At 43.8% G+C, this 23,755-nt stretch overlaps 1 protein-coding gene across 16 annotated transcripts in view, besides 11 other annotated features; it reads left to right on the top strand.

Annotated features, from left to right (window-relative positions):
• Positions 5,743-5,924: a silencer, noted in NCBI's record as "fragment chr12:120423527-120423708 (GRCh37/hg19 assembly coordinates)". NCBI's record gives its function as "represses an EF-1alpha promoter that drives an FKBP-Casp9 reporter gene in an ReSE screen in K562 erythroleukemia cells {active_cell/tissue: K562}" and the evidence as "EXISTENCE:reporter gene assay evidence [ECO:0000049][PMID:32094911]".
• Positions 8,804-8,863: a silencer, noted in NCBI's record as "silent region_4932". NCBI's record gives its function as "represses an Ori minimal core promoter by ATAC-STARR-seq in GM12878 lymphoblastoid cells {active_cell/tissue: GM12878}" and the evidence as "EXISTENCE:reporter gene assay evidence [ECO:0000049][PMID:35858748]".
• Positions 8,884-9,523: a silencer, noted in NCBI's record as "silent region_4933". NCBI's record gives its function as "represses an Ori minimal core promoter by ATAC-STARR-seq in GM12878 lymphoblastoid cells {active_cell/tissue: GM12878}" and the evidence as "EXISTENCE:reporter gene assay evidence [ECO:0000049][PMID:35858748]".
• Positions 8,884-9,900: a biological region, named in NCBI's record as "H3K27ac-H3K4me1 hESC enhancer GRCh37_chr12:120426711-120427684".
• Positions 8,927-9,900: an enhancer, noted in NCBI's record as "H3K27ac-H3K4me1 hESC enhancer chr12:120426711-120427684 (GRCh37/hg19 assembly coordinates)". NCBI's record gives its function as "activates a minimal SCP1, AML or CMV promoter by ChIP-STARR-seq in naive and primed H9 embryonic stem cells {active_cell/tissue: H9 hESC(naive and primed)}" and the evidence as "EXISTENCE:reporter gene assay evidence [ECO:0000049][PMID:30033119]".
• BICDL1 (BICD family like cargo adaptor 1) overlaps positions 9,256-23,755 on the top strand; it is a 105,260-nt gene continuing 90,760 nt past the window's right edge. For 10 of the 16 annotated variants that reach the window (XR_007063143.1, XM_006719694.4, XM_006719696.4 and 7 more), the window contains exons 1-2: positions 9,256-10,317; positions 18,541-18,756. Coding sequence is in view for 12 of the 16 variants with exons in the window: in XM_006719694.4 (XP_006719757.1) it covers positions 9,889-10,317; positions 18,541-18,756 (645 nt within the window). In the remaining 4 variants the exon portion in view is untranslated. Of the gene's footprint in view, positions 10,318-18,540; positions 18,757-19,780; positions 19,933-23,755 lie in introns of those variants that run through there. The other 6 variants (NR_147892.1, NR_147893.1, NM_207311.2 and 3 more) reach the window with 3 other exon arrangements.
• Positions 9,804-9,893: a silencer, noted in NCBI's record as "silent region_4934". NCBI's record gives its function as "represses an Ori minimal core promoter by ATAC-STARR-seq in GM12878 lymphoblastoid cells {active_cell/tissue: GM12878}" and the evidence as "EXISTENCE:reporter gene assay evidence [ECO:0000049][PMID:35858748]".
• Positions 9,901-10,872: an enhancer, noted in NCBI's record as "H3K27ac-H3K4me1 hESC enhancer chr12:120427685-120428656 (GRCh37/hg19 assembly coordinates)". NCBI's record gives its function as "activates a minimal SCP1, AML or CMV promoter by ChIP-STARR-seq in naive H9 embryonic stem cells {active_cell/tissue: H9 hESC(naive)}" and the evidence as "EXISTENCE:reporter gene assay evidence [ECO:0000049][PMID:30033119]".
• Positions 9,944-10,013: a silencer, noted in NCBI's record as "silent region_4935". NCBI's record gives its function as "represses an Ori minimal core promoter by ATAC-STARR-seq in GM12878 lymphoblastoid cells {active_cell/tissue: GM12878}" and the evidence as "EXISTENCE:reporter gene assay evidence [ECO:0000049][PMID:35858748]".
• Positions 10,024-10,233: a silencer, noted in NCBI's record as "silent region_4936". NCBI's record gives its function as "represses an Ori minimal core promoter by ATAC-STARR-seq in GM12878 lymphoblastoid cells {active_cell/tissue: GM12878}" and the evidence as "EXISTENCE:reporter gene assay evidence [ECO:0000049][PMID:35858748]".
• Positions 10,544-10,603: a silencer, noted in NCBI's record as "silent region_4937". NCBI's record gives its function as "represses an Ori minimal core promoter by ATAC-STARR-seq in GM12878 lymphoblastoid cells {active_cell/tissue: GM12878}" and the evidence as "EXISTENCE:reporter gene assay evidence [ECO:0000049][PMID:35858748]".
• Positions 13,973-14,076: a silencer, noted in NCBI's record as "fragment chr12:120431757-120431860 (GRCh37/hg19 assembly coordinates)". NCBI's record gives its function as "represses an EF-1alpha promoter that drives an FKBP-Casp9 reporter gene in an ReSE screen in phorbol 12-myristate 13-acetate-treated (for megakaryocytic differentiation) K562 erythroleukemia cells {active_cell/tissue: K562(+PMA)}" and the evidence as "EXISTENCE:reporter gene assay evidence [ECO:0000049][PMID:32094911]".

A 23,755-nucleotide genomic window follows, 5' to 3' on the forward strand; every position in this document is an offset into this window, starting at 1 on the left:
ACCATGGAAAACAGATTCACGGGACATTTTACCTACCCACCAGCAAAAGTTTTTAGTTATCCTGGAAACTGGATGATATAAAATTTCCATAATCAGTGTACTCTGAAATTGACAAAGAACACTAAAGGGAGGAAATTCACTTAAGAAACAGTTTTAGTATGAGCAGTATCAATAGGTATAAATAACTTGCCTGCCAACAGATTAAACCAGAATGTAATGCGGAAGGAACAAGATATAACAAATGTTTGGCAAATTCTTGAGATGAAATAAAACTAGGAAATGTTTTAAAATAGCTCGAGATGAATGATATATGTAGCAAAACACAGCAACAATGTGTTTAGAGCCAAGATCATTGAAAAGAAGCAGGAAAATATGAGCACATAGAAAATGAAACCACAAATCTTTCTAGATGTGGGCATTGGAAGAACCAAAAACAGCCAACCTGAGCATAAAGCAGTCATTTTCTGATGAGTTTGGGCAACAGTGACAGCCAAATCATTATAAGAGGGTAGGGGAGAGTAGAAAGTAATTTAGTCAATGTTGGGAGCAATTGCCTCAAAGCAGAGGAGCTTTTTGGTTATTTATTTGCCTAAGTGGTATGGCTGTGTTATGGGCTGGTTTTCCAGAAGAGAATCCCTAAAAGCAGCCAAAGCACCCTTGGGCTTGCATCAGAGCCCATCATGCATGTAACCCATTTATATCTTTCTCAGGCAACAAACCTCATGGTTAAGTTGTAGAAGCCTGTCATTTTATTTTATTTTATTTTATTTTATTTTATTTATTTGAGACAGGGTCTTGCTCTGTCATCCAGGCTAAAGTGCAATAGCGTGATCACAGCTCACTTCAGCGTCAACCTCCCCATACCCACATGATCCTCCCACCTCAGTCTCCCTAGTAGCTGAGACTATAGGCGTGAGCCACTGTGCTTGACTAATTTTTGGATTTTCTGTAGAGACGGGGTTTCGCCATGTTGCCCAGGCTGGTCTTGAACTCCTGGGCTTAAGTGATCCACTCACCTCGACCTCCCAAAGTGCTAGGATTACAGGTGTGAGCCACCACGCCCGGTCAAAGCCTGTCATTCTGTCTTTTTTTTTTTTTTTTTTTTGAGACAGAGTCTTTGTCACCGAAGCTGGAGTGCAGTGGCCCAACCTCGGCTCACTGCCAACTTCCACCTACCACGTTCAGATGATTCTCCTGCCTCAGCCTCCCAAGTAGCTAAGACTGAAGGTGCATACCACCACGCCGGCTAATTTCTGTATTTTTAGTAGATATGGGGTTTTTTCATGTTGGCCAGGCTGGTCTCAAACTCCTGACCTTAAGTGATCTGCCCACCTCAGCTTCCCAAAGTGCTGGGATTACAAGCATAAGCCAATGCGCCTGTCCCGAAGCCTGTCATTTTAAACTAGCGTTTCTCAACTCAGCACTATTGACATTTGGGGCCAGATAGGCTGTCCTGGACATTAAAATATGTTTGGCAGCATCTCTAGTCTCCATCCATTAGATGCCAATAACACCTCCTTCCTCCCAGTTATGACAACCCAAAATGTCTCCAGACATTGCCCAATATCTCTAGGGTCCTAGGAGGAGGTCAAAATCACCCCCAGACCAAGCACGGTGGCTCATGTTTGTAATCCCAGCACTTTGGGAAGTTGAGGCAGGCGGATCACGTGAGGTCAGCAGTTTGAGACCAGCTTAGCCAACATGGTGAAACCTTTCTCTACTAAAAATACAAAAATGAGCTGGGCATGGTGGCATGTACCTGTAATCCCAGCTACTAGAGAGGCTGAGGCAGGAGAATCGCTTGAACCCAGGAGCTGGAGGTTGCAGTGAGCCGAGATCATGCCACTGCACTCCAGCCTGCTTGACACAGTGAGATGCCGTCTTAAAAAAAAAAAAATCACCCCCAGTTGAGAACTACTGGTTTAGAGCATACAGGGGTGATTACCAGGCCAACTTCATACCGTACAGATAAGGAAGCCAAAGCCTAGGCACATTAAATGCCTTGTTCAATTGTACATAGCTACACAGCTGGTTAATGACAGATCTAATTCAGAAAGCCCAGATTGTTTGTTTGTTGGTTGGTTTTTAGAGACAGGGTCTCGCTCTGAGACCGAGGCTGGAGTGCAGTGGCGCGATAGTAGCTCACCGCCTCGCTGCATCCTCAAACTCCATGTCTCAGCCTCAGGAGTAGCTAAGACTATAGGTGGGAGACAGAGGATCTCTCTGTGTTGCTCAGGGTGGTCTCAAACTCCTGGCCTCAAGCGATCTTCCAGCCTCGGCCTCCCAAAGTGCTGAAATTACAGGAGTGAGCCACTGCACCTGGCCTGCCAGGCTCCATTTTAAACATATCTGAAATATTCTTGTCTTAAGACTGACCTTATTAAGTAAGTATTACTTCTTCTTCTTCTTATTATTATTATTATTATTGGAGACAGGGTCTTGCTCTGTCATCCAGGCTGGAGTGCAGTGGCACACAGCTCACTAAAGCCTCAACCTCCTGGGCTCAGGTGATCCTCCCACCTCAGCCTCTCCAGTAGCTGAGATGAAACGCACACACCACCATGCCTGGCTAATTTATTTTTTATTTTTTTGTAGGGACAGGGTTTTGTTATGTTACCCAGGCTGGTCTTGAACTCCTGGGCTCAAGCAATTCACTCACCTCGGCCTCTGAAAGTGTTGGGATTACAGGTGTGAGCCACCACACCTGGCCTATCAGGCTTCATTTTTAAGAGCTGTACGTATCTGAAATCTTTCTGTCTTAAGACCAAATTTATCAGGTAAGTACTACCATTATCCCCATTTTATAAATGAAGAAACTGAGGCATAGAGGTCCAAAGTCATCCAACTCCTAAGTGGCAGAACTAGATGCAGCCCAGGAAGTCTGGTTCATGATCATTAAGGGGAAAGACTGAAGATGCCTAATCAGAAGGGAGGAAAAATGGGTCAGAAGCTGGAAATGACAGTTGTCAGAAAATAACTGGCAGAGGTAACAGGGCAGCTAGACCTGGGGTATTAGGCAAATCCTTGGGAGAGAGGAGTTCTCATCTGGAAGGGAAAAGTTGGGCAAGGATGTTGGTAGGAAAGGATAGAAGCTGGAGGAGAGGAAGTTGGGAACTCACACTGTGTATCCATATAGGGACAAGATGAGGCTTCTATTTACCTTCTGAGTAGCAGAGAAGGAACTTCCCGACATCAGGCAGGGCAGGGTCTCTGCTGAAGACTGACACCGGTGAGCACCAGCCACTGATGTTAACATTTTTCCCCTAAAAACCAACTTGAGAACCACCAGGGGTATACACACCACATTCTGCAAAATGTTGAGATCACTCCTCTCTAAAAAATATAAAGTGCTTTGGGTAACATTTGATGAATGTCCAAGACTTGTATGTTTCCACGATTATTTCATAGACAAAATATACAACTTAAAACACGCGTGATCTGCTGGTGCACACAAACACACACATCATAGCTAAATGAAAATATCAAGCATAGAACAGCTTTATTACACATTTTGCCAGTTCCTCATGTTTCTTCAACACTTGGCTTTTCAAAAACAAATTTTCGAGACGTTTTGTCTTTTACACTTTCCAGTTTTCACGGACCAAGATGTTAATAAAAGTAAACAACTTGGGGAAATCGGATGAGCGTTGTCATATTTGTAGATATCAGGATCTCTAAGAAGGAAAAATGTCATGTTTTGCCCTTAGTGATGTAATAGCACTTACGTGGAAATTCACCCATAGTATGTTAAGTATGTAAACTGTACTCATACTCAAGTTTACCAGACTATCCAGGTACTAAAACTAACACTAATGCAAATATATTTTAAAGGAATACATAAGTGATAAAAAGTGAAGTGCAGTAGAGTAACTAAGAACAAGTCCATTAGAGACAGACAGTTCTAAAACACTAGCATCATAGTATCATGTACTAGTATATATTGGTGTAACACACTACCATTATAGGGTTATTGTGAGGATTAAATGAGAGAGTGTTACATAAAGGATTTAAGGAGCACAGTGCTAAATGTATTTTAGCTGTTATTGTTCTAGCATGAAGAAGAATAAATTTAATAAGCTTCTTAGAAGTCTGATGGTTTTCATAACTTGGCTTTAATGAGTTTTAAATCCTGGCACTAATTTCCATATAGGCAGGTATATATTCATTCTGTTACCTCAAGGCTGACCTAATGGACTTGAATCAGCAGTTCCCAGAGTGTGGTGCACCGGCTCCTAAAGGTCCTAGAGTCTTTCAGAGGGCTACCAAGAAAAGAACTATTTTCATAATAAGTGTAAGGATTATCATTCTAATGTTATTAACAATAGCAAACTAATTTCATAATAATGCTAATCATCTAATACTATTTTTGTTTGTAATTATGTTGACATTTGCACTGATGGTGCAAAAGCAATGGTAGGTAACACCACTGATACCTTAGCATGAGTCAAGGCAGTGTTACCCAGCTGTGCTGGTACACATGGTAGTCTTCACTTTCATGTGCTCATAGAAAAAACAGAAGCTAGTTTTATTAACCAATGTCCCTGACGAAGCAGTACTTCTATTAAGTCCAGACCCTTGAGTGCACATCTTTTTAATATTTCATGTGATGAAATGGGAAGTACCCACAAAGCACTTCTGCTGTGTACTGAAGTATGATGGTTATCTTGAGGTGAAGCACTTGTACCTCCGTTTGAGTTGGGAACTAACTAGCCACATTTTTCACGGAACACTGTTTTTACCTGAATGAATGACACAAACTGTGGTATTCAGATTCGGGTATTTGGCAGATATTTTCTCAAGAATTAATGAAGTAAGTCTGTTACTTCAAGGAAAACAACTCAAAATATTTGTTACTAATGATAAAACTCAAGCTTAGTAACTTCTCAATACTTAAAGACTTTTATGATGAGATCAGTGGTGGTGATATTAATGAATGTGATTAGGCTGATATTGTGTAATGACATGTGACAATATTTGTAAGATCTGCATAACTCAGACATTTTCCAAATGAAAATACATGCTGTTATACAATCAATCATACATATGTAAAAAATCCATTCAAAGTGAAAAATAGATCAATGGGATTTCCTTGACATGGTTTTAGATTTCACATTGCAACTAACCTTTAAGAAACTACAACTTGTCATCTGGGCGCAGTGGCTCACGCCTGTAATCCCAGCACTTTGGGAGGCTGAGGTGGGTGGATCACCTGAGGTCAGGAGTTCAAGACCAGCCTGGCCAACATAGTGAAACCCCGTCTCTACTAAAAATACCAAAATTAGCCAAGTGTGGGGGCACATGCCTGTAGTCCCAGCTACTTGGGAGGCTGAGGCAGGAGAATCACTTGACCTGGGAGGTGGAGGATGCAGCGAGCCAAGATTGCGCCACTGCACTCACTCCAGCCTGGGCAACAGAGTGAGACTCCATCTCAAGAAAGAAAGAAAGAGAGAGAGAGAGAGAAAGAAAGAAACTATAACTTGTCAAGTTTGGGTGTAATATCAAAGAAAAATATCCAAAATGAAAAGGCTACTAAAATATTCCTCCTTTTCCCAACCACATATCTTTGTGAGTCCAAATTTTCTTCATATATTTCAAAATATCATACATTATAGATATATCCAAATACAAGAATTCACTTTTCTACTGTTAAGCCATACATTACAGAGGTTTACAAAAATGAAGAATAACGCCATTCTTCTCACTAGTTTTTTTTACATTTAGGACCATATAGTTATTGTTCATAAAAATTCATTATAGTTACATATAATAGGTTTATCATAAATATTTAAAATGAATTAATTATTTAAAAACTTTTTTTTTGGAGATGGAGTCTCACTCTGTCACCCAGGCTGGAGTGCAGTGGCGTGACCTTGGCTCACTGCAACGTCCGCCTCCCAGGTTCAAACGATCCTCCCGCCTCAGCCTCCTGAGTAGCTGGGACTACAGGCACATGCCACCATGCACAGCTAATTTTTGTATTTTTAGTAGAGACAGGGTTTTGCCATGCTGGCCAGGCTGGTCTTGAACTCATTACCCCAAGTGATCTGCCTGCCTCGGCCTCCCAAAGTGCTAGGATTACAAGCATGAGCCACCGTACCCGGCCCAAGAGTGTAATGAGATTCTGAGACCAAAATGTTTAAGAACCACTATTTTGAATAGTTCTGCAAAGTTGGGCTGGTTCTCCCAGAAAGACAGTGCTTAGAGCCAAACCTACTGTAAGAAGTGAACATTTCCTAGTAAGGTTCAGCAGTGGAACATTGTTAGGAAGGAAATTCAGAAGCTGGAGTTAGAATTGTAACAGTTCATTTTCACAGTAACAGATAAGTGGAACAGATTAGGACCATTGGGCTCAAGGCAGGCAAACAAAGTCATTTTTTGAAAGATAGGCTGCATGTCTGCATTAAGGAAAAAGAGCTGAAACTCTTTTTTTTTTTTTTTTTTTTGACAAGTTCTTGCTCTGTCACCCAGACTGGAGTGCAATAGTATGATCAGGGCTCACTGCAGCCTTGATCTTCCAGGCTCAACTCACCCTCCCATCTCAGCCTCCTGAGTAGCTGGGGCTATAGGCACACACCACCATGCCTGGCTAATTTTTTTGTATTTTTTGTAGAGACGGGGTTTTGGCCATGTTGTCCAGGCTAGTCTCAAACTCCTGGGCTTATAAGACCCTCCCACTTTGGCCTCCCAAAATGCTGGGGTCATAGGCATGAGCCACCCAACTGGTGGAGAGACAGGATCTTGCCATGTTGCCTGTTATAAGTAAAATGTTTATTTAGAAACAGAATGCTTGTTCCTCGGTACCACGAGGAAAAATCAGCATTTAGAGAGAAAGTTTTCTCAGCAATGCAATTTTAGTTTCTGCAGAAAGGGTGCTCCTTGCAGCTGGAACAATGGCAAGAGCACACCTGAATAAAGGAAAGAAGCAATTTTTATCCCTTACGCAGTTTGTCCCTGCTACTGTGCCTTGTCTCCATTGGCTGGAGCCAGACCTTACAATTTAAACTGAACCTGATAGGCTAACAACTTAAAACTTTTCTAAATAGGTAAAAGCAATGGAGAACAAAGGAAAAGAGGAAGTTATTTATGAAAAGACTTAGAAAAGTAGTAACATTCCCAAATAGGGAAGGGGCATAGGCTGCAAGCTGGGACATGCCAGTGAGCATGTCCAGCACAGGTATCTTGGTTAAAGTACATGGACATAGAATGTACTCATTCCCTTAGATCTAACAGCTACATAGGAAAGGGCTTAACAGAGAGTTATTAGCATAAAATAAGGTGGCTTGAAGGAAGTTAGTCTTTAAAAGAAACCATTATTTCTAACACTTATTATTCATTCTTTAACAAGAAGGGAAGCTTTGAAGAGGAAACTTTACTTTCTACATTGTCCAAGCTGGTCTTGAACTCCTGGGCTCAAGCAATCCTCCTGCCTCAGCCTCCCGAAGTGCTGAGATTATAGGCAGGAGCCACAGAGCCTGGCCCTGTTTGTTCTTGATGTGTCTCCAGACATATTAGGGAGAAATTTGTCCTTCTGTGATTCAAATAAGACAAAAGGAAGTGGCAATTGGATCTCACCTCTGGCCCACAATTCCAGCTCAAGGTGGGAGGTCATAATAAAAAGTGTTAGAACATTTCCTTGCTGGAATGGTAACATGGTCAACTGCAGAAATTTAGCTCTAAGATTGATGTGGGAATCCCTCAACTGTCTGTCTCCTTTCCAGTCAACAAGTGAACAATGCCAGCCCTGAGGCCCAGGAGCTTTTCAGATTCTGGCCTTCAGTCTAAGGGTAACGATGTTAAAACTTGAATATTGTTTAGGCTCTGAATTTAATAAGCGATAAAAACCATGAGAAACTATTTGACCCATTTCAGCCTCTTGATGTTCTGAAATTTCCATCTCACTGGGATGAAAAGAAGAAAGGCATGATCCAAGTAAAAAATGGGTTGTCTGTCCAAGAGGAAAAGGAAGCATAGGGACGAATTCTAGCTTTAGATGGGATTGTTTCTGGAAATAGGAGACACGTAGCACCACCAACGAGGTCAACACCAAGGAATGACTGCAAGTCACCCAGTAGGCTCTCCAAACCTTCCTTTAATCATTGAGGAAATGTTCCTTCCATATCCACCCAATCCATCTTGGTCACAAAGGACCATTTATCTTCCTCAAGACTGCTTCTATGTGAAGAAAATAAAGAATAATGATTCACGTGATCCCTGGCGTCGGCCTGGCTAGATCTCAATCCTGACTCTACCAGTTGTAATGACCTGGGCAGACGATGCCATCTCTCAGGCTTTAATTTCCTTCTCTGTTAAAATGACAAGCGGCAGTACTGATTTTATAAAGTTCTTGTGAGGATTATCTAAAATAATGACTATCAAGCACTTAATACAGGACATGGCACACACTGAGTGCCGAATAAACGGTAGTTATTATTAGGGAGGTTCTTTGCTTCGTATTCCCATCTGTGAGCAGTTTTTTCCGTTATTTCTCCGCAGAAACCCTTTCTCTCCGGGCTGCTGATCTGCGAAGCATCTGGTCCTTCATATCCCTGAGTCATCAGCATGAAGATGCCTGGTTTCCGAAGTCCTCCCTCCTCCTACTGCTCTCTAGGGCTCCCTCTCCTGACTGCTTAGTTCTCCTGGGGGCCCAGACCTAAATTTCGTGAGGGTATGTCTTTCTCGGGGCCGGGTCACCAGTCTTGGAGGAATGTCCTCAGTCCCCTTTGCCCCAGACACCACCAGAGATGCGGCAACAGAACTCTGAGGCGCGCCCCGGCTTCCAAGTAGCTGGGGGCGGGGCCGCGCCTGGAGGTGAGCAGCAGGCGGTGGGCGGGGCCGCGCTCCGTCCGAGGTGAGAGCGAGGCCGGGTGCGAGGCCACACCCCGAGGTACGAGAGCTGAGGGCGTGGCCACACCCCAGCTCTGAGCGAGGCTGAGGGCGGAACCGCACCCCGAAGTGGGTGCAAGGCTGGGGGCGTGGCCGCGCGGTGAGGCAGCCAGGACCGTGAGGGATGCGCCAGCCGCCTCCGCAGGCGGCGCGCGCAGCCGCCCGCAGGGCGTGAGGCAGAGCAGGGGTTAAGGCCGCCGGCGCCACCTGGGCGTCGCTGAGGAGACCCGCGAGCCGGCGAATCCCGCGCGGGCGGGGCGAACAGGTGCCCGCGCGCGTCAGGCGCCGGCAAGGGGCGGGGCGAGGGGACGCGGCCGGAAGCCCGGGGCGGGGCGCTGCCGGCCCGGTGAGCCGGGAGGAGCCGGGGAAGGCAGGAAGGAGCTCGCCGGGTTGCGCGGCGCGCGATGTGGAGCCGCCGCCTCGGCCCCTGCAGCAGCAGCAGCCGCCGTCGCCGCCGCTGCTGCTGGGGCTGCCGCGGAGCCGGGGGTCATGGAGTGCGGCTGCAGAGAGCGGCCGCCGGCAACAGCAGCAGCAGCAGGAAGCGTCGCGGCGACAGCGGAGCGCAGCCCGCCCCGTGAGGCGCTGCCCGGCCGGCGGCGGCAGCAGCAGCAGCAGCGGCAGCGGCAACAGGGCGGCTGAGAACCCGGCGGCGGCGTTCCTCCTCGCTTCCTCCCCTCCCGCTTCGCCGACCCTCAGTCTCTGTTCCTGAGTCCTCCCTTCCCCAGCCTTCCCGTTCCCACCACCTACTCCGCCACTACCCCCACCCCCTCCTCCCGCGCGCGCCTGAGCAGCTGAGCCCGGGGGCGGGGGAGGGGGCGCGTGCCGCCGGCGCGGGGGAGGGGCGGGCCGGCGCGCGCCGCGCCCAGGGCTCGCGGGGACCCGGGGGCGCGTGCCGCGGCGCGAGGCGAGGCGCGGGACGCGGGGCGGCGCGGCAGGGCCCCTCCCCCCTGCAGCCTGGCGCGCGCGGGCCGGGCCGCACCGCTGCGGGCTCCGCGCGCGCGGGCCATGTCCGCTTTCTGCCTGGGCTTGGTCGGCCGCGCTTCAGCACCCGCCGAGCCGGACAGCGCCTGCTGCATGGAGCTGCCCGCCGCGGCCGGGGACGCAGTCCGGAGTCCCGCCGCCGCCGCCGCCCTCATCTTCCCCGGGGGCTCCGGGGAGCTAGAACTGGCGTTAGAGGAGGAGCTGGCGCTGCTGGCGGCCGGGGAGCGGCCGTCCGACCCCGGGGAACACCCTCAGGCCGAGCCTGGGTCTCTGGCCGAGGGGGCCGGACCGCAGCCGCCGCCCTCCCAGGACCCCGAGCTGCTGTCGGTGATCCGACAGAAGGAGAAGGATCTGGTGTTGGCGGCCCGGCTGGGTAAGGCGCTGCTCGAGAGGAACCAGGACATGAGCCGGCAGTACGAGCAGATGCATAAGGAGCTGACAGACAAGCTCGAGGTGAGGACCTCCCTCCAGGGATGGGTGGGGAGCAGGGGCCGCCCAGGCACGCGCCCGGCCCTGGGCAGTTAGGGAACCACTCACCCCCACTTCGTTGCTCACCCTACCTCGCAGAAAATCTGGAATGAATGGGGGAGGGAGGATGGAGGATTATCAGATTTCGTTGAACCCACTTGACTTCCCCACCCCGCTCACAGCAAATGGGTCCATGCGTGGCTCCAGCCGCTGTGGGCCGTTCTATATACGTACTGTACCCAGCATCTAAAATAGAGCTTACAGTATGACTATATAGCACTGAGGTGATGTCTGCATACAGAGAAATGAGGAAGTCGGGAAGCATTTAAAATATGTTGCAGGTTTTCAGAGCAGTTAATCTCTAATCAGGGTGTTAGCCTAAAGCCTTCCAGTTTGGGCGTTAAGGCCTTTAGATGCCCTTGTCTTAACTTCCTGGCAGCTCAGAGTTGTGGGAAACAAGTGCCCCTAAAGGAGCTTTATATAGCCTTCAAATGCTCAGGGATTAGGAAATGTGGTTCCATTGCAGAAATCAGGCGAGCCAGGGCTCAACATGTGACCGCTGGTAGTGGATTTAATTTGGGCCTCAGTATTTATGTGTATTTAAACAGTACTTTTCTGTGTTCTGGGTCTCAGGCTTGCAATTGAATGACCAAATGCAACCTATGAGAACCATATTACTTTAACTTCTGTTATAAAATACCTGTTAAGGTATCCGTAATATTTCTGCCAGTTCTCTAGGCAGTCTTTCAGAGTTGTTTGTTTTCTTGCCCTTAACTAGAAAAGGGCCTTGAATGCAGTACAGAATGCCAGCATTTCTAAAAATTAGATTGCAAAAAAAAGGGGCAGGGGGATGGGGAGAGGGAGTCACCTGTGACTTACCTTTCCTGCCTGTGCGTTTACTATTATTGTTACCTAGTTTGGTTGCAGCCAGCTCTTTTCATTCTTAGTTACAGCAAGACAATAGTACAGACCTGAATGAGGTTTGAAATTGACCCTAGTCAGGTTCCGTATCTCTGCTACTGGTTGAACAGTCAGAATGGAAATTCAGAAATATTCTGTAATAAGATTTAAGTATGCCTATAGTCCAGCGACGTAAAAGTAAATCCGGGAGAAAAAAAGGAAACCTGTGAGTGCCCTGTAGTTCGGTTGTCCTGCTAACTAGGTCTGCCAGTCGATGAACTCCTGAGATACCTCTCTGAAAAGTCGTTTGTGAAACCTATAGGTAGACTGCCAAAAAGCAGCCTAATGAATTGAATTGTTTAATTTTCACTTGAAGTAGAGGTCTAGAAATAAAAAGCCTTCCTTTTTTTTTTATAAAGAGATTCAGTTGTACGACTTTGTAAAGAAGTACAACTACAGAGATTTATACTTGTGATTTGAAATTTCTTCAGTGAAGGACTTGATTGAAGAGACAGCTGACTTGAAAGGAGCACCGTATCAGTTTGATTAGTGCCAGATTTCATAGTAATCCTGAGTGTGCAATTACATACATTCTGGGTTCCATGTGGAGCCTTTATACATTTCTTCAACATAGGGCAAAGATTTCAGAATGGTAACAAAAAAAGGTTGTATTGTAAAAGAATAAATTATCTTTGACATTTTGTTATTTACTTAATGGACAACAATAGTTTAAAACTCTTTAAACTATTTTTTAAAACCTTCATTCCTCTGCAGGTCAGCATATGAACTCTAGTTTTAAAAGTTCAATTTTAAGTTCTGGAGATAGTCGCACAACAATGTGAATATAACTAACATATACTTAACATATACTTACAGGCCAAATATTGATCATTGTTGAAACTCAGTGATGAGGGGAGTCAGTTATATTATTTCTTATAGGTAGGTTTGAAAATTATAAAAAATTTTAAAGTTTTAAAAATGTTCATTAAAGATACTAAGAGAGTACCATTAGTTGCTTGTTAATCTTTCTAGTGTTAATGTGAGAGTGACAAACCTGGTTTACAGAGTACTGTTTTATTTGACACCTCCGGTTTAGTTTTCCCCACAGTACATTGTTTGAACAATGTAGGTTTTAGAATGTCTGTTTAGACAATACTTTCTAACGTTCAGTACAAACTGCTGTACTTTGTACTTTTTTCTTTTTTAGACAAGATCTCACTCTATCCCCCAGGCTGCAGTGGAGTGGCTGATCATGGCTTACTGCACCCTCAAGTGACCCTCCCACTCAGCCTCCTGAGTAGCTGGGACTACAGGCGCCTACTACACACCTGGCTAATTTTGTAAAAATGTTTCGTAGAGATGGGGTCTCACTATGTTGCCAAGGCTGGTCTCAAACTACGGGGCTCAAGCAGTCCTCCTGCCCTGGCCTTCCAAAGTGGTGGGATTACAGGAGTGAACCATTGAGCCTGGCCTGTATTTTCAATTAAATCAAACACTTGGGAGTATAAAACCAGTACTTTAAGACGCATTTATTCATGAGAGAACTTGACCAGAAAAAAAAAATTTATAATCTTCCACAAACTGTCGGACATTTGGAGTCAAACACATTTTCTTACAGGGTGGTTTGAAAGAGAAACATGTGAGTGGACTGAGGGAATGCCACTTTCACTATTGAATAATGAGACTGGTTTTATTTTAATCCCATCTTCTCTACTACTTCAAAATTGGCACCTTTCTTCCACCCCCCCACCCTGCCCCCCAGATGGAGTCTCGCTCTGTCGCCCAGTCTGGAGTGCAGTGGCGCAATCTCAGCTCACTGCAAGCTCCACCTCCCAGGTTCATGACATTCTCCTGCCTCAGCCTCCTGAGCAGCTGGGACTACAGGCGCCCGCCACCACGCCTGGCTAATTTTTTTTTTTTTTTTGTATTTTTAGTAGAGACGGGGTTTCACCATGTTAGCCAAGATGTTCTCGAGCTCCTGACCTCGTGATCCGCCTGCCTCGGCCTCCCAAAGTGCTGGGATTACAGGCATGAGCCACTGCGCCGGGCCGGCACCTTTCTAATGTCGGGACAAACAAGGCATTTTCAAGATCTTTTCTACCTATTCATTAGTTAATACTAAATACCTCTCTGGTTCTGTGTGCCAAGCCCAAGATTTTGTTGTTTTCATTTCAAACATTAAAGTACTTGATGCTACACTATTGTGTCATTAAAGGCATACTATTAATATTTAAAGTCTTCAGTGGTTTAAAGGTTAACAGAAGTTTTTTAGTTATATGTCTCTTGGGGTTAAAATGAAAATTCAGGTTAATTGGAAAAACTGTAAGGTTTGGGCCATTTTTTCCGCTCTTGAATTGACTCTGTATTTTGTTACTCATTCACTGAATCAGATGCTTAAAGTTGTTTCTTTTTTTTTTTTTTTGAGACAGAGTCTTGCTCTGTTGCCCAGGCTGGAGTGCAGTGGCGTGATACCAGCTCACTGCAACCTCTCTGCCTCCTGGATTCAAGCGATTCTCCTGCCTCAGCCTTCCGAGTAGCTGGGATTACACAACCCACCATCATGCCTGGCTAATTTTTGTATTTTTTAGAGATGGGGTTTCACCATGGTGGCCAGGCTGGTCTTGAACTCCTGACCTCAGGTGATCCTCCCGCCTCAGCCTCCCAAAGTGCTGGGATTATAGGCGTGAGCCACTGCACCCAGCCCAGATGCTTAAAGTTCTGAAGGCATTTTTAAAAATTTCTTTTCATCTACAATTAGCCGTTTTGCTTTAAAACTTATATCCGGTCATGTCCTTAGCTTTTTCCCCAGAATATGAAGTAAGACAGTAACTTGTATTTATACACCTTTTTTCTTCAGGAATTAAATATTTGTTGTTAATGTACAGTATCTCCCTTTTTTCCATCATGGCTGAGTGGATTATCTCTTTACTGCAGAGATTGTTCTCTTCCCTCAGTTATATTTTCCTCCTTCCCCAGGCCAGGCCAATTCTCATTAGTCCAGTACTGTTTTTTTAAGAGGAAGAACAAAAGATGAAAATGAATACATAATGGGAGTCACTAGTGGATTTAGGGAAGAAAACCCAGGGGTTCTGATTTGCATTTAGTTCTTGGACCTTTTAAAGAACAGTACTTTTTCAGAACCATGTACTGGACTTCTGAGCATATTGTCAGTTTTTTGGTTCTTTTTTTTTTTTTGGCAGAAATCCATTTCTGTAAAGACCTGTTTTATGTAAACTAATGATCTTAATTTTGGGTGGTGGGGTTTTTTTAGTTTTAAATAGACTCTTTTTTTTTCGAGACGGAGTCTCACTTTGTTACCCAGGCTGGAGTGCAGTGGCGCCATCTTGGCTCACTGCAACCTCCGCCTCCCGGGTTCAAACAATTCTCCTGCCTCAGCCTCCTGAGTAGCTGGGACTACTGGTATACACCACCATGCCCGGCTAATTTTTGTATTTTTAGTAGAGACGGGGTTTCACCATCTTGGTCAGGCTGGTCTTAAACTCCTGACCTCGTGATCTGCCCACCTGGGCCTCCCAAAGTGCTGGGATTACAGGCATGAGCCACTGCGCCCAGCCATAGACTCTATTTTTTAAAATGGTTTTAGATTTCCAAAAGAGCTGGAAAGATAGTACAGAGAGTTTGCATATACCCTGCACCCAGCTTCCTCTTATTAACATCTTATAATAGTATGGTACATCCGCCATAATTATTGAACCAGTACTCATGTGATTACTAACTGAAGTCTTCAGTTTATTCAGATTATCTAAGCATTTATCTAATACCTTTTTCTGTTCCAGGATACCATATTACATTTAGTTTTTGTGTCACTTTAGGCTCCTCTTAGCTGTGACTGGCAGTTTCTTAACCTTATTTTTGATGACCTTGACAATTTTGATATTAACTTTCTAAAATACTATATAACCCTGAGAAACGAAGGAGAGCATAAGCAGAACTTGACCTTCACACTTCCTGACAGTCTCCCTAGAGTTTTCTGGTTAATTTAGCACTTAATTGAAAATATAATTCTAGGAGAAACTTTTCTCAGAGCAGATGCTAAATTCTGTACAAAATGGTAAATTCTGTATGTTTATTAATAGGAAAGCCTGGAATTTGTCAAAGGATTGGGAAACATGAAATAGGAAGTTTGTCTCATGTCCAAAGAAATACAAGGACTGAATAGACTGATCAGCACCACCTGTCCTCAGCCCTGCCCCCAAGTGGATTGGATTGTTTCAGTTGCTTGGTTGGGCTCTTCACTAACAGCTGTTTGCTGAATATTTTTAAGTCACTCTGTTCTTTTAGAACACGAGCCTAATTTATCTGGCCTCTCAGTAACACTGTGATTACTGAGTTCTTGCCATTGCCTTCTGCTGAATCTTTTTCATTTTGAAAAAATTGAATAAAAGCAAGTATCACAATTTTAGGATTGCAATTAGCATTTGTTTCTGCATTCCATCTTGCTGAAGTTTCTACAGTGACTAAAACATTCTCTGGCCGGGCACGGTGGCTCACGCCTGTAATCCCAGCACTTTGGGAGGCCGAGGCAAGCGGATCACGAGGTCAGGAGATCGAGACCATCCTGGCTAACACAGTGAAACCCTGTCTCTACTAAAAATACAAAAAATTAGCTGGGCGTGGTGGTGGGCGCCTGTAGTCCCAGCTACTCGGGAGGCTGAGGCAGGAGAATGGCGTAAACCCGGGAGGCGGAGGTTGCAGTGAGCCGAGATCATGCCACTGCACTCCAGCCTGGGAGACAGAGCAAGACTCCGTCTCAAAAAAAAAAAAAAAATTCTCATTTTTGGAAGTTAAGCAATACAAGGGATGCATAGAGCAAAAAATTCTCATACTGATGAGAAGGCCCTCCCTTGTCATTTCTTTTCCCACATTGCCCCAAACAGACTGTATAAAATATAATGTGTCTTTTTCAACAGATACACTCGAGTGGCTATCTCCAAATGAGTTGTCTCCTTAAAGTTGTCAACTTGGGAGTTTTCGGTGAAAACTGCCTTTGCCAGTGTGCTCAGAATGTTAATTTTCTACTGCTGTTTTTATCTTTTGGCACATTCTTTTGACTGCTCTCAATCATGGTAAATTTTCATCTTTTTGGGGTTAATGACTTTCAGAAACATTCAAAAGTCACTCAACAAAGTAAGGAGAATAAGATGGCAGGATGAAGGAGGCTAATCTCATTTTTTAGACACACCCCAGATGTGAAGTAATAGAACTTATTTTCTTGCATGACTGTAAGCTGTCCCTTAAGGCTTTCCAAAAGAAGCATTCTGAAAGATATTTTGAATGGTGAGAACTTCAGGTGAATAAGAGTATAGCCTCTCAAGATAAGGAGATGACTGAGTAGTCTGAAAGAGAAGATTCATAGGTGCATTTTAGTTCATTCAGTCTCAGTGCTTGATGTCAACCTTCAGTGTGTCAGAATTTCCTGTAGAACCCAGTATATATACATATACAGATACACACACACACACACACACACGCATAGATGCCTTAGACTTCAGTCTATTCCTAACTGCATCACAATCTCAGGAATTGCAGTCCAGGGTGTATTTTGAATAGTTACACCAGAATGTTTCTGAGAGCATCAAAAGTTCAGGACCATCACTTTCACTTAGATTTCCTAGAGTCCTTGAAGTATAGTTTTGGCTGTTGTACATACTGTGCTTTTTAAATAGAAGAACATACTCTTTTCAGAGGCATGCATATTTATCTCAGAAACAAAAAGATTTTTTTTTTTTTTTTGAGACGGAGTCTCGCTCCGTCGTCCGGGCTAGAGTGCAGTGGCGCGATCTCGGCTCACTGCAAGCTCTGCCTCCCGGGTTCATGCCATTCTCCTGCCTCAGCCTCCTGGGTAGCTGGGACTGCAGGCCCTCGCCACCTCGCCCGGCTAATTTTATATTTTTAGTAGAGATCAGGTTTCACCGTGTTAACCAGGATGGTCTCGATCTCCTGACCTCGTGATCTGCCCTCCTTAGCCTCCCAAAGTGCTGGGATTACAGGCGTGTGCCACCGCGCCTGGCCACAAAAAGATGTTTTTATTTCCCTCAATCCAAAGAAATCTTGTTTTATTGAGCTGCTACATTAAACCATATGTACTTTTCCTGCATACCATCTTTCATATGCAATTTGTTTTATCAGTCTCCTCCACTAGAATGAAAACTCCATACAGGCAAGGACCATGTCTGTTTTGCTCATTAGAACGTCCCTAGGACTGTGCTTGGCTCATAGTAGGTGCTCAAGAATGAATCAATGTATCAAATAAATATACAAGGCTTAATGGGCCATGATTTAAAGTGGCCCTGAACCTCAACTTGCCCTAATGATTTTGAATTACATTGCTATATATAGCAACAAATATTTATTGAGCTGTGACTTAGAGAACCAGAGTCAACTGACTTAGACAGTCCCCGCTTTGCCGTTTACTAGTAGTGACCTTGAGATTGTCACTTAACCTCTTCTGTTGCTTCATTTCTAAGACGAGATGGTTAATTGAAAAGATCTCTGGAGTTCTTTTCATCTCTGAAAAATTCTGTGATAGTAAGAATCTGGTATTATGCCATGGATAATAGGTGACTCCAAAGGAAGCCTCCTTAAAAAAAGTAAGGAGGGGGTGGGGCACGGTGGCTCACACCTGTAATCCCAGCACTTTGGGAGGCCGGGCCGGGGGGATCACGAGGTCAAGAAATCGAGACCAACCTGGGCAACATTGTAAAACCCCATCTCTACTGAAAATACAAAAATCAGCCCAGTGTCATGGCGCATTCCTGTAATTCCAGCTGCTTGAGAAGCTGAGGCATGAGAATTGCTTGAACCTGAGAGGCGGAGGTTGTGGTGAGCCAAGATCACACCACTGCATTCCAGCCTGGGCGACGGAGTCTTACCACTGCACTCCAGCCTGGGCGACAGAGCAAGACTCCATCTCAAAAAAATCAAAAAGGATTTTAGTTGTGGGACTCATTTTTAGTTGTTTAAATGTATAGTTCACCAATTGATTAGATGATTGGCAAATTTCAAGTGAACTCCCTAGTCTAGAACCTCATGCCTAAGGATAAGAATAAACATAATAACTTTAAGTATTTTCAGTAAGAATGGCGTTCTCTTTGTGAAACCAACTTCTTCCCTGCTCTGGAAGAAGGAATATTTTTGTAGCTGTGAATTCGGCAACTTGTCCTATGTGGTAGGGTGTTTTATTGTGTCTACTGACTAGGAAAAAGAAAAGTTGGGACAGCGCGGAGAGAAAAAATAAAAGGCTGTGGAATTTTTATCAGTGTTTAAATCCCTTCACTTTTCACCCAGCACTTAGAGCAAGAGAAACATGAATTGAGAAGACGATTTGAGAACCGAGAAGGGGAGTGGGAAGGCCGAGTGTCAGAGCTGGAGAGTGATGTGAAGCAGCTACAGGATGAGTTGGAGAGGCAGCAGATTCATCTGCGGGAAGCAGATCGAGAAAAATCACGGGCTGTCCAGGAACTGTCGGAACAGAACCAAAGGCTATTGGATCAGCTCAGCAGGGTGAGTCACAAATTAAGAATTTAAGATGTAAAATACTAAAAGTTGAAATAGGCTGGGCATGGAGGCTTATGCCTGTGACGCCAGCATTTCGGGAGGCCAAGGTGGGAGAAGCACTTCAGACCAATCTGGGCAACACAGGGAGACCTCATCTCTACAAAAGTTTTTTAAAAATTAGCCAGGCATGGTGGCACCTGCCTGTGGTCCCAGCTACTTGGGAGGCTGAGGTGGGGGGATCGCTTGAGCCCAGGAGGTCAAGGCTGCAGTGAGCTGTGATCAGTCATGCCACTACACTCCAGCCCGGGCAACAGAGTGACAGCCTGTCTCGGAAAAAAAAAAAAAAAAAAAAAGTTGAAATAGAGCTTCTGTATAATGTGAGTCATATAGATGACAAGAGCAATTCTGATTTTGTATGCCTTCGTTTTTAACAAAGTTCAGTATTTCTATCTACAAGAACTTTGGTATTACTGAACTAGGGGTCAGGAGCCAAGATGCATGCTTGTGATTAACAAGCCACAGACTTTGACAATCACTTAACTTGGGAGTTTTCTCATTTTTAAAATGAAGGGGTTGTGCTTAATGACTTCTGACGTTTTTATAGCTCTAAAAGTCTGTGATTACTTTACCTATGAAAGTCTATCACTGGCAAAATTATGTTAATTCGTTTAGTTCAAATATTAAAAGGTACTGTCTTTAAACTTTTTAAGCTTAGGGAAAATTTCTAGAGCAATTGATTTTTATTGATGTTGCATTTGTGAATGTACACTTTTTGTATTGTTTAAATATGAAAAGAAATGTGTATCTGTATTGAAAATTTGTTTTATTTCCACATTTAGTAAACATTCTTTATTTGTACCTTTCTAAGGTGGTGTCATGGAAGTATTAACCAAAGTCAAGGCTGTAAAATCATTTCAAGGAAGGAGGTTGAGGCTAAATAGATGGAAATCTAATTTAAATACAGAACATACCTTTTAAACAAATGCAGGAATGTTATTAATGCCCTGGTCTATAAATCCATCTATTTTAGAAAATTAAGACTTGGATTTACTATTCTACCTCAGCCCTTCTTGTATATTGAAAATAAAACTACCAACTCTTCAGTTACCGGAGGAAAAAGAACTTCTCTGATATCATCCCTCAGCACTGATGTTCTCATGGGAGCAGTGCCGTGTCTGCATGGTTAGTGTTTGGTGCTTTGGTCTTAGGGAAAAGTGTAAATAGGGCAGCATTTCATAAATTCCTGGATCTTCCACTAATTTGATGGGTGATGCTGTATGAAGTTATTTCACTAGTTTGTGTTGTAGTTGCTTCCTGTGGTTATTCTGAGACCAGTGAAAAAACGTGTCTCACAAGAATATGGGAAGAAGTGCCACCAATGGGGAAGGGAGGAGAAGAAGGAAAGGTAGAGGAGAGGGAGAAAGAAAGAAGGAAAATGATGCTTAGTAACTTGGAAAATAGTTGCAGGGAAATACCAGAATGTTTGTGAGAGCTGAGGATTCAGGCAATAGGTAGAGCTAAAGATCTTCTTGCCTGCAGGTTTCCCATCTGGAGAATCCAGTCACCATTTGATTGTCTGGGAAGTAGGAATTGGACAGTTCAGGAAGTCACTTCACAGAGCCAGCTCAGTAACAGGATTTCTGATTCAGTTCTAAAAGCTTTTTTCAGCAACTGGGAATGGAATCTCTATCCTTGTAAAAATTTTTATGTTTTTGACTATTTTCATTCATTATTCATGAAAGATTCAACCAGAGAGGCCTGGCTAGATTGATTTATTTGTTCAAAAACATTTAATACATACTTTGAGTAAGTGTTTCTTACGGAGACTTATAGAATGAATGCAACAAACCAGAAAAATTAAAGGGGAAATTAAGATTTCTTGGGGGCTAAGTTCATGTTACAAAATAACATGAGCTAAAGCAGACTCTGCCCCGTGAAAGATAGGTGACCAAGAGAGACGAAGGGAAAAAGCAGATTTCAACATGACATAGCAAAAGCTCATGGAGCTTGGAATCTGACTCTGTTACTCATTAACTGGGGGACCTTGTTTGTGCCTCAGTTTCCTTTTCTTTAAAATGGGTGTAAAAATTATGCCTCATACAAGTATTATTGAAATGAAAAATGAGATAATGTGTTTATGTTAAACAGCGTGTGAAGGTAAGGATTTGTTTCAGTGTTGATGGTTGTTTTACTAAAGCAGTGTCTTTATAATTTGTTCACTTTGCCTAATTTCTTATAGAAAATCCTGATAAGCTGCTCCTAAAAGAACGTAGGAAGATAACATTTCTACTAGATCTAGATTTTTGTTATCCTTTCTGGCCTTGAATATAGGCCCTTGGTGAGTTTTATAGCTTTTTCCCTTTTTTCAAGCAGGACCAGCCCCTGGGGTTTCCATCAGCAGCAAGTTTAGATAGCGTTTTATTAACTGAGTATCCAGGAACTAGAGGAGTTAAATATTTTGAAGTGAATTAAGACAAGATAATCAACAGAGGTAATAGAAGGCCATACTTTTCTTTTTCTTCTTCTTTTTTTTTGAGACAGAGTCTTGCTTTGTCGCCCAGGCTGGAGTACAGTGGCACAATCTCAGCTCACTGCAAGCTCCGCCTCCCGGGTTCATGACATTCTCTTGCCTCAGCCTCCCAAGTAGCTGGGACTACAGGCGCCTGCCACCACGCCCGGCTAATTTTTTGTATTTTTAGTAGAAATGGGGTTTTACTGTGTTAGCCAGGATGGTCTCGATCTCCTGACCTTGTGATCTGCCCGCCTCGGCCTCCCAAAGTGCTGGGATTACAGGCATGAGCCACCACGCCTGGCCAAAGGCCGTACTTTTCTTATAGTGTTTAAAATGTGTTTTTATAAGTATGAAATGTATAATATCTAAAATGTACAGTATTTCTTTGATACCTTCGTCCAGAGTTTACATACATCTCATTGGCTTCCTTGGCCTCCAGGGCTGCTCTTCTCTTTATTAATAACAGCTTTATTGAGATATAATTCACATACCATAACATTTACCCTTTAAAAGGGTACAATTTGGGGCTTAGCACAGTGGCTCATGTCTGTAATCCCAGCACTTTAGGAGGTTGAGGCAGGAGGATCACTTGAGGCCAAGAGCTTGAGACTAGCCTGAACTATACAGTAAGACCCTGTCTTTACAAAAAAAATGTTTTTAAATTCTCCATGTGTAGTGGTGCATGCCTGTAGTACTGGCTGATTGCTTGAGCCCAGGACTTTGAAGCTGCAATGAGCTATGATCACACCACTGCACTGCAGCCTGAGTGACAGAGTGAGACTTTGTCTCTTAAAAAAAAATTTTTTTAAGTGTATAATTGGGTAGTTTTTAGTTATTTACAGAGGTGTGCCACTATCACCATTATCTAATTAGAGAACATGTCACCCTCCGCAAAAGAAACCCTGTACCCATAGCAGTCACTCATTTCTCCTAACCTTATAAGGACGCCAACCATATTGGATTAGACCCACCCTAATGACCTCATTTTAATTTGATTACCTATGTAAAGACCCTGTCTCTAAATAAGGTCACATTCTGAGGTACTGGGTTTTGAACTTCAATATATGGATAGGGGAAGGGGAACATAATTCAACCCATAAGAAACGTGTTGGGGTTTTCTTACCAACAGATACAACTCTTGGATGTTAATCAGTGCTGTCTGTGGGAGGTGTTCACAGTAGTGTCACTTTTCTGGGGGGTTGCATATACTTAATAACATATTTACATACCAAAGATACATAAGCCTTTGGCCATATGACTAAGAGCTGCCATGGTTCATGGGAAGATACTTAGAACCCTTAATTTTATTCTTTGAAAAAGTCCCAATCCACCTCTCTCATTACCCTCCTCTAAAGACTAACCTGCATTCTATTCCTTGAGTAAAATATGAAAGCCTTTATTATTTTTTTAGATCTTCTTTAATTCAACATTCAGCAAATATTTATTGATCAAGGCACTGGGAATACAGTGGAGAACACAAGTCCTCTGTTTTATGAAGCTAGTAGGAGAAGATGTATAAATAAATGAACAATCCACAAGATACAGATTGCAGTAGGTACTATGAAGGGTGATTTGATGGAGACTGACTAGAAAGCAGGGAGCTTTTTCTACCTTAGAAAGACTCGGTAGGGGGCCGGGTCATGGTGGCTCACGCCTGTAATCCCAGCACTTTGAGAGGCTAAGGCGGGCAGATCACCTGAGGTCAGGCATTTGAGACCAGCCTGGCCAACATGGTGAAACCCCATCTCTACTAAAAATACATAAATTAGCTGGGCATGGTATCGTGAGCCTGTAATCTCCAGCTACCGGGGAGTCTGATGCAGGAGAATCGCTGGAACCTGGGAGGCAAAGGCTGCAGTGAGCCGAAATTGTGCCACTGCACTCCAGCCTGGGCAACAGAGCAAGACCCCATCTTTAAAAAAAAAAAAAAAAAACAGTCGGTAGGGAAGGCTTCTGTGGGGAGACAACATCTGAGATGAGACCCCAAGGGTGAGGAGCCAGCTGTGGAAGAGCTAAGGGAACAGCATTCTTTGATGAATACTGTTAGACTGTAAACTCTATGAGAGCAGGGACTCTATCTGTCTTGTTTATTGTTGTAAACAGGTATCTAGCAGAGTGGGCATTCAATAAAAGATGGTTGGGTTTTGTTGTTGTTGTTAAATGATTATCTAAAATACCCAATAAGGAGATTATTAGAACTATAACTGTCAAGAATACACTACCCCTCCATGTACTCTTTAGAAGTGCACTCCTGACTTTCACACTCACTCTTACACTGCGTGTATGCTGTTTGAAAACCAGTTGTCAAAGGTGCCATGGATATCAGTGCTTTGACAGGCAACCTATAGCTAATGGTGACTCACTTGCCTAGACACCTAATATTATTATCATAGATACTCCTGGAATTGCATAAAAAGCCAGTCTTCAATGAATTGAGAAGAGTGACTACATATGAGAATGGACAGAGCTTTTGTGCATTGATTTAAAGTCTGC

Source organism: Homo sapiens, chromosome 12 (assembly GCF_000001405.40).
Source record: "Homo sapiens chromosome 12, GRCh38.p14 Primary Assembly".
NCBI lineage: Eukaryota > Metazoa > Chordata > Mammalia > Primates > Hominidae > Homo > Homo sapiens.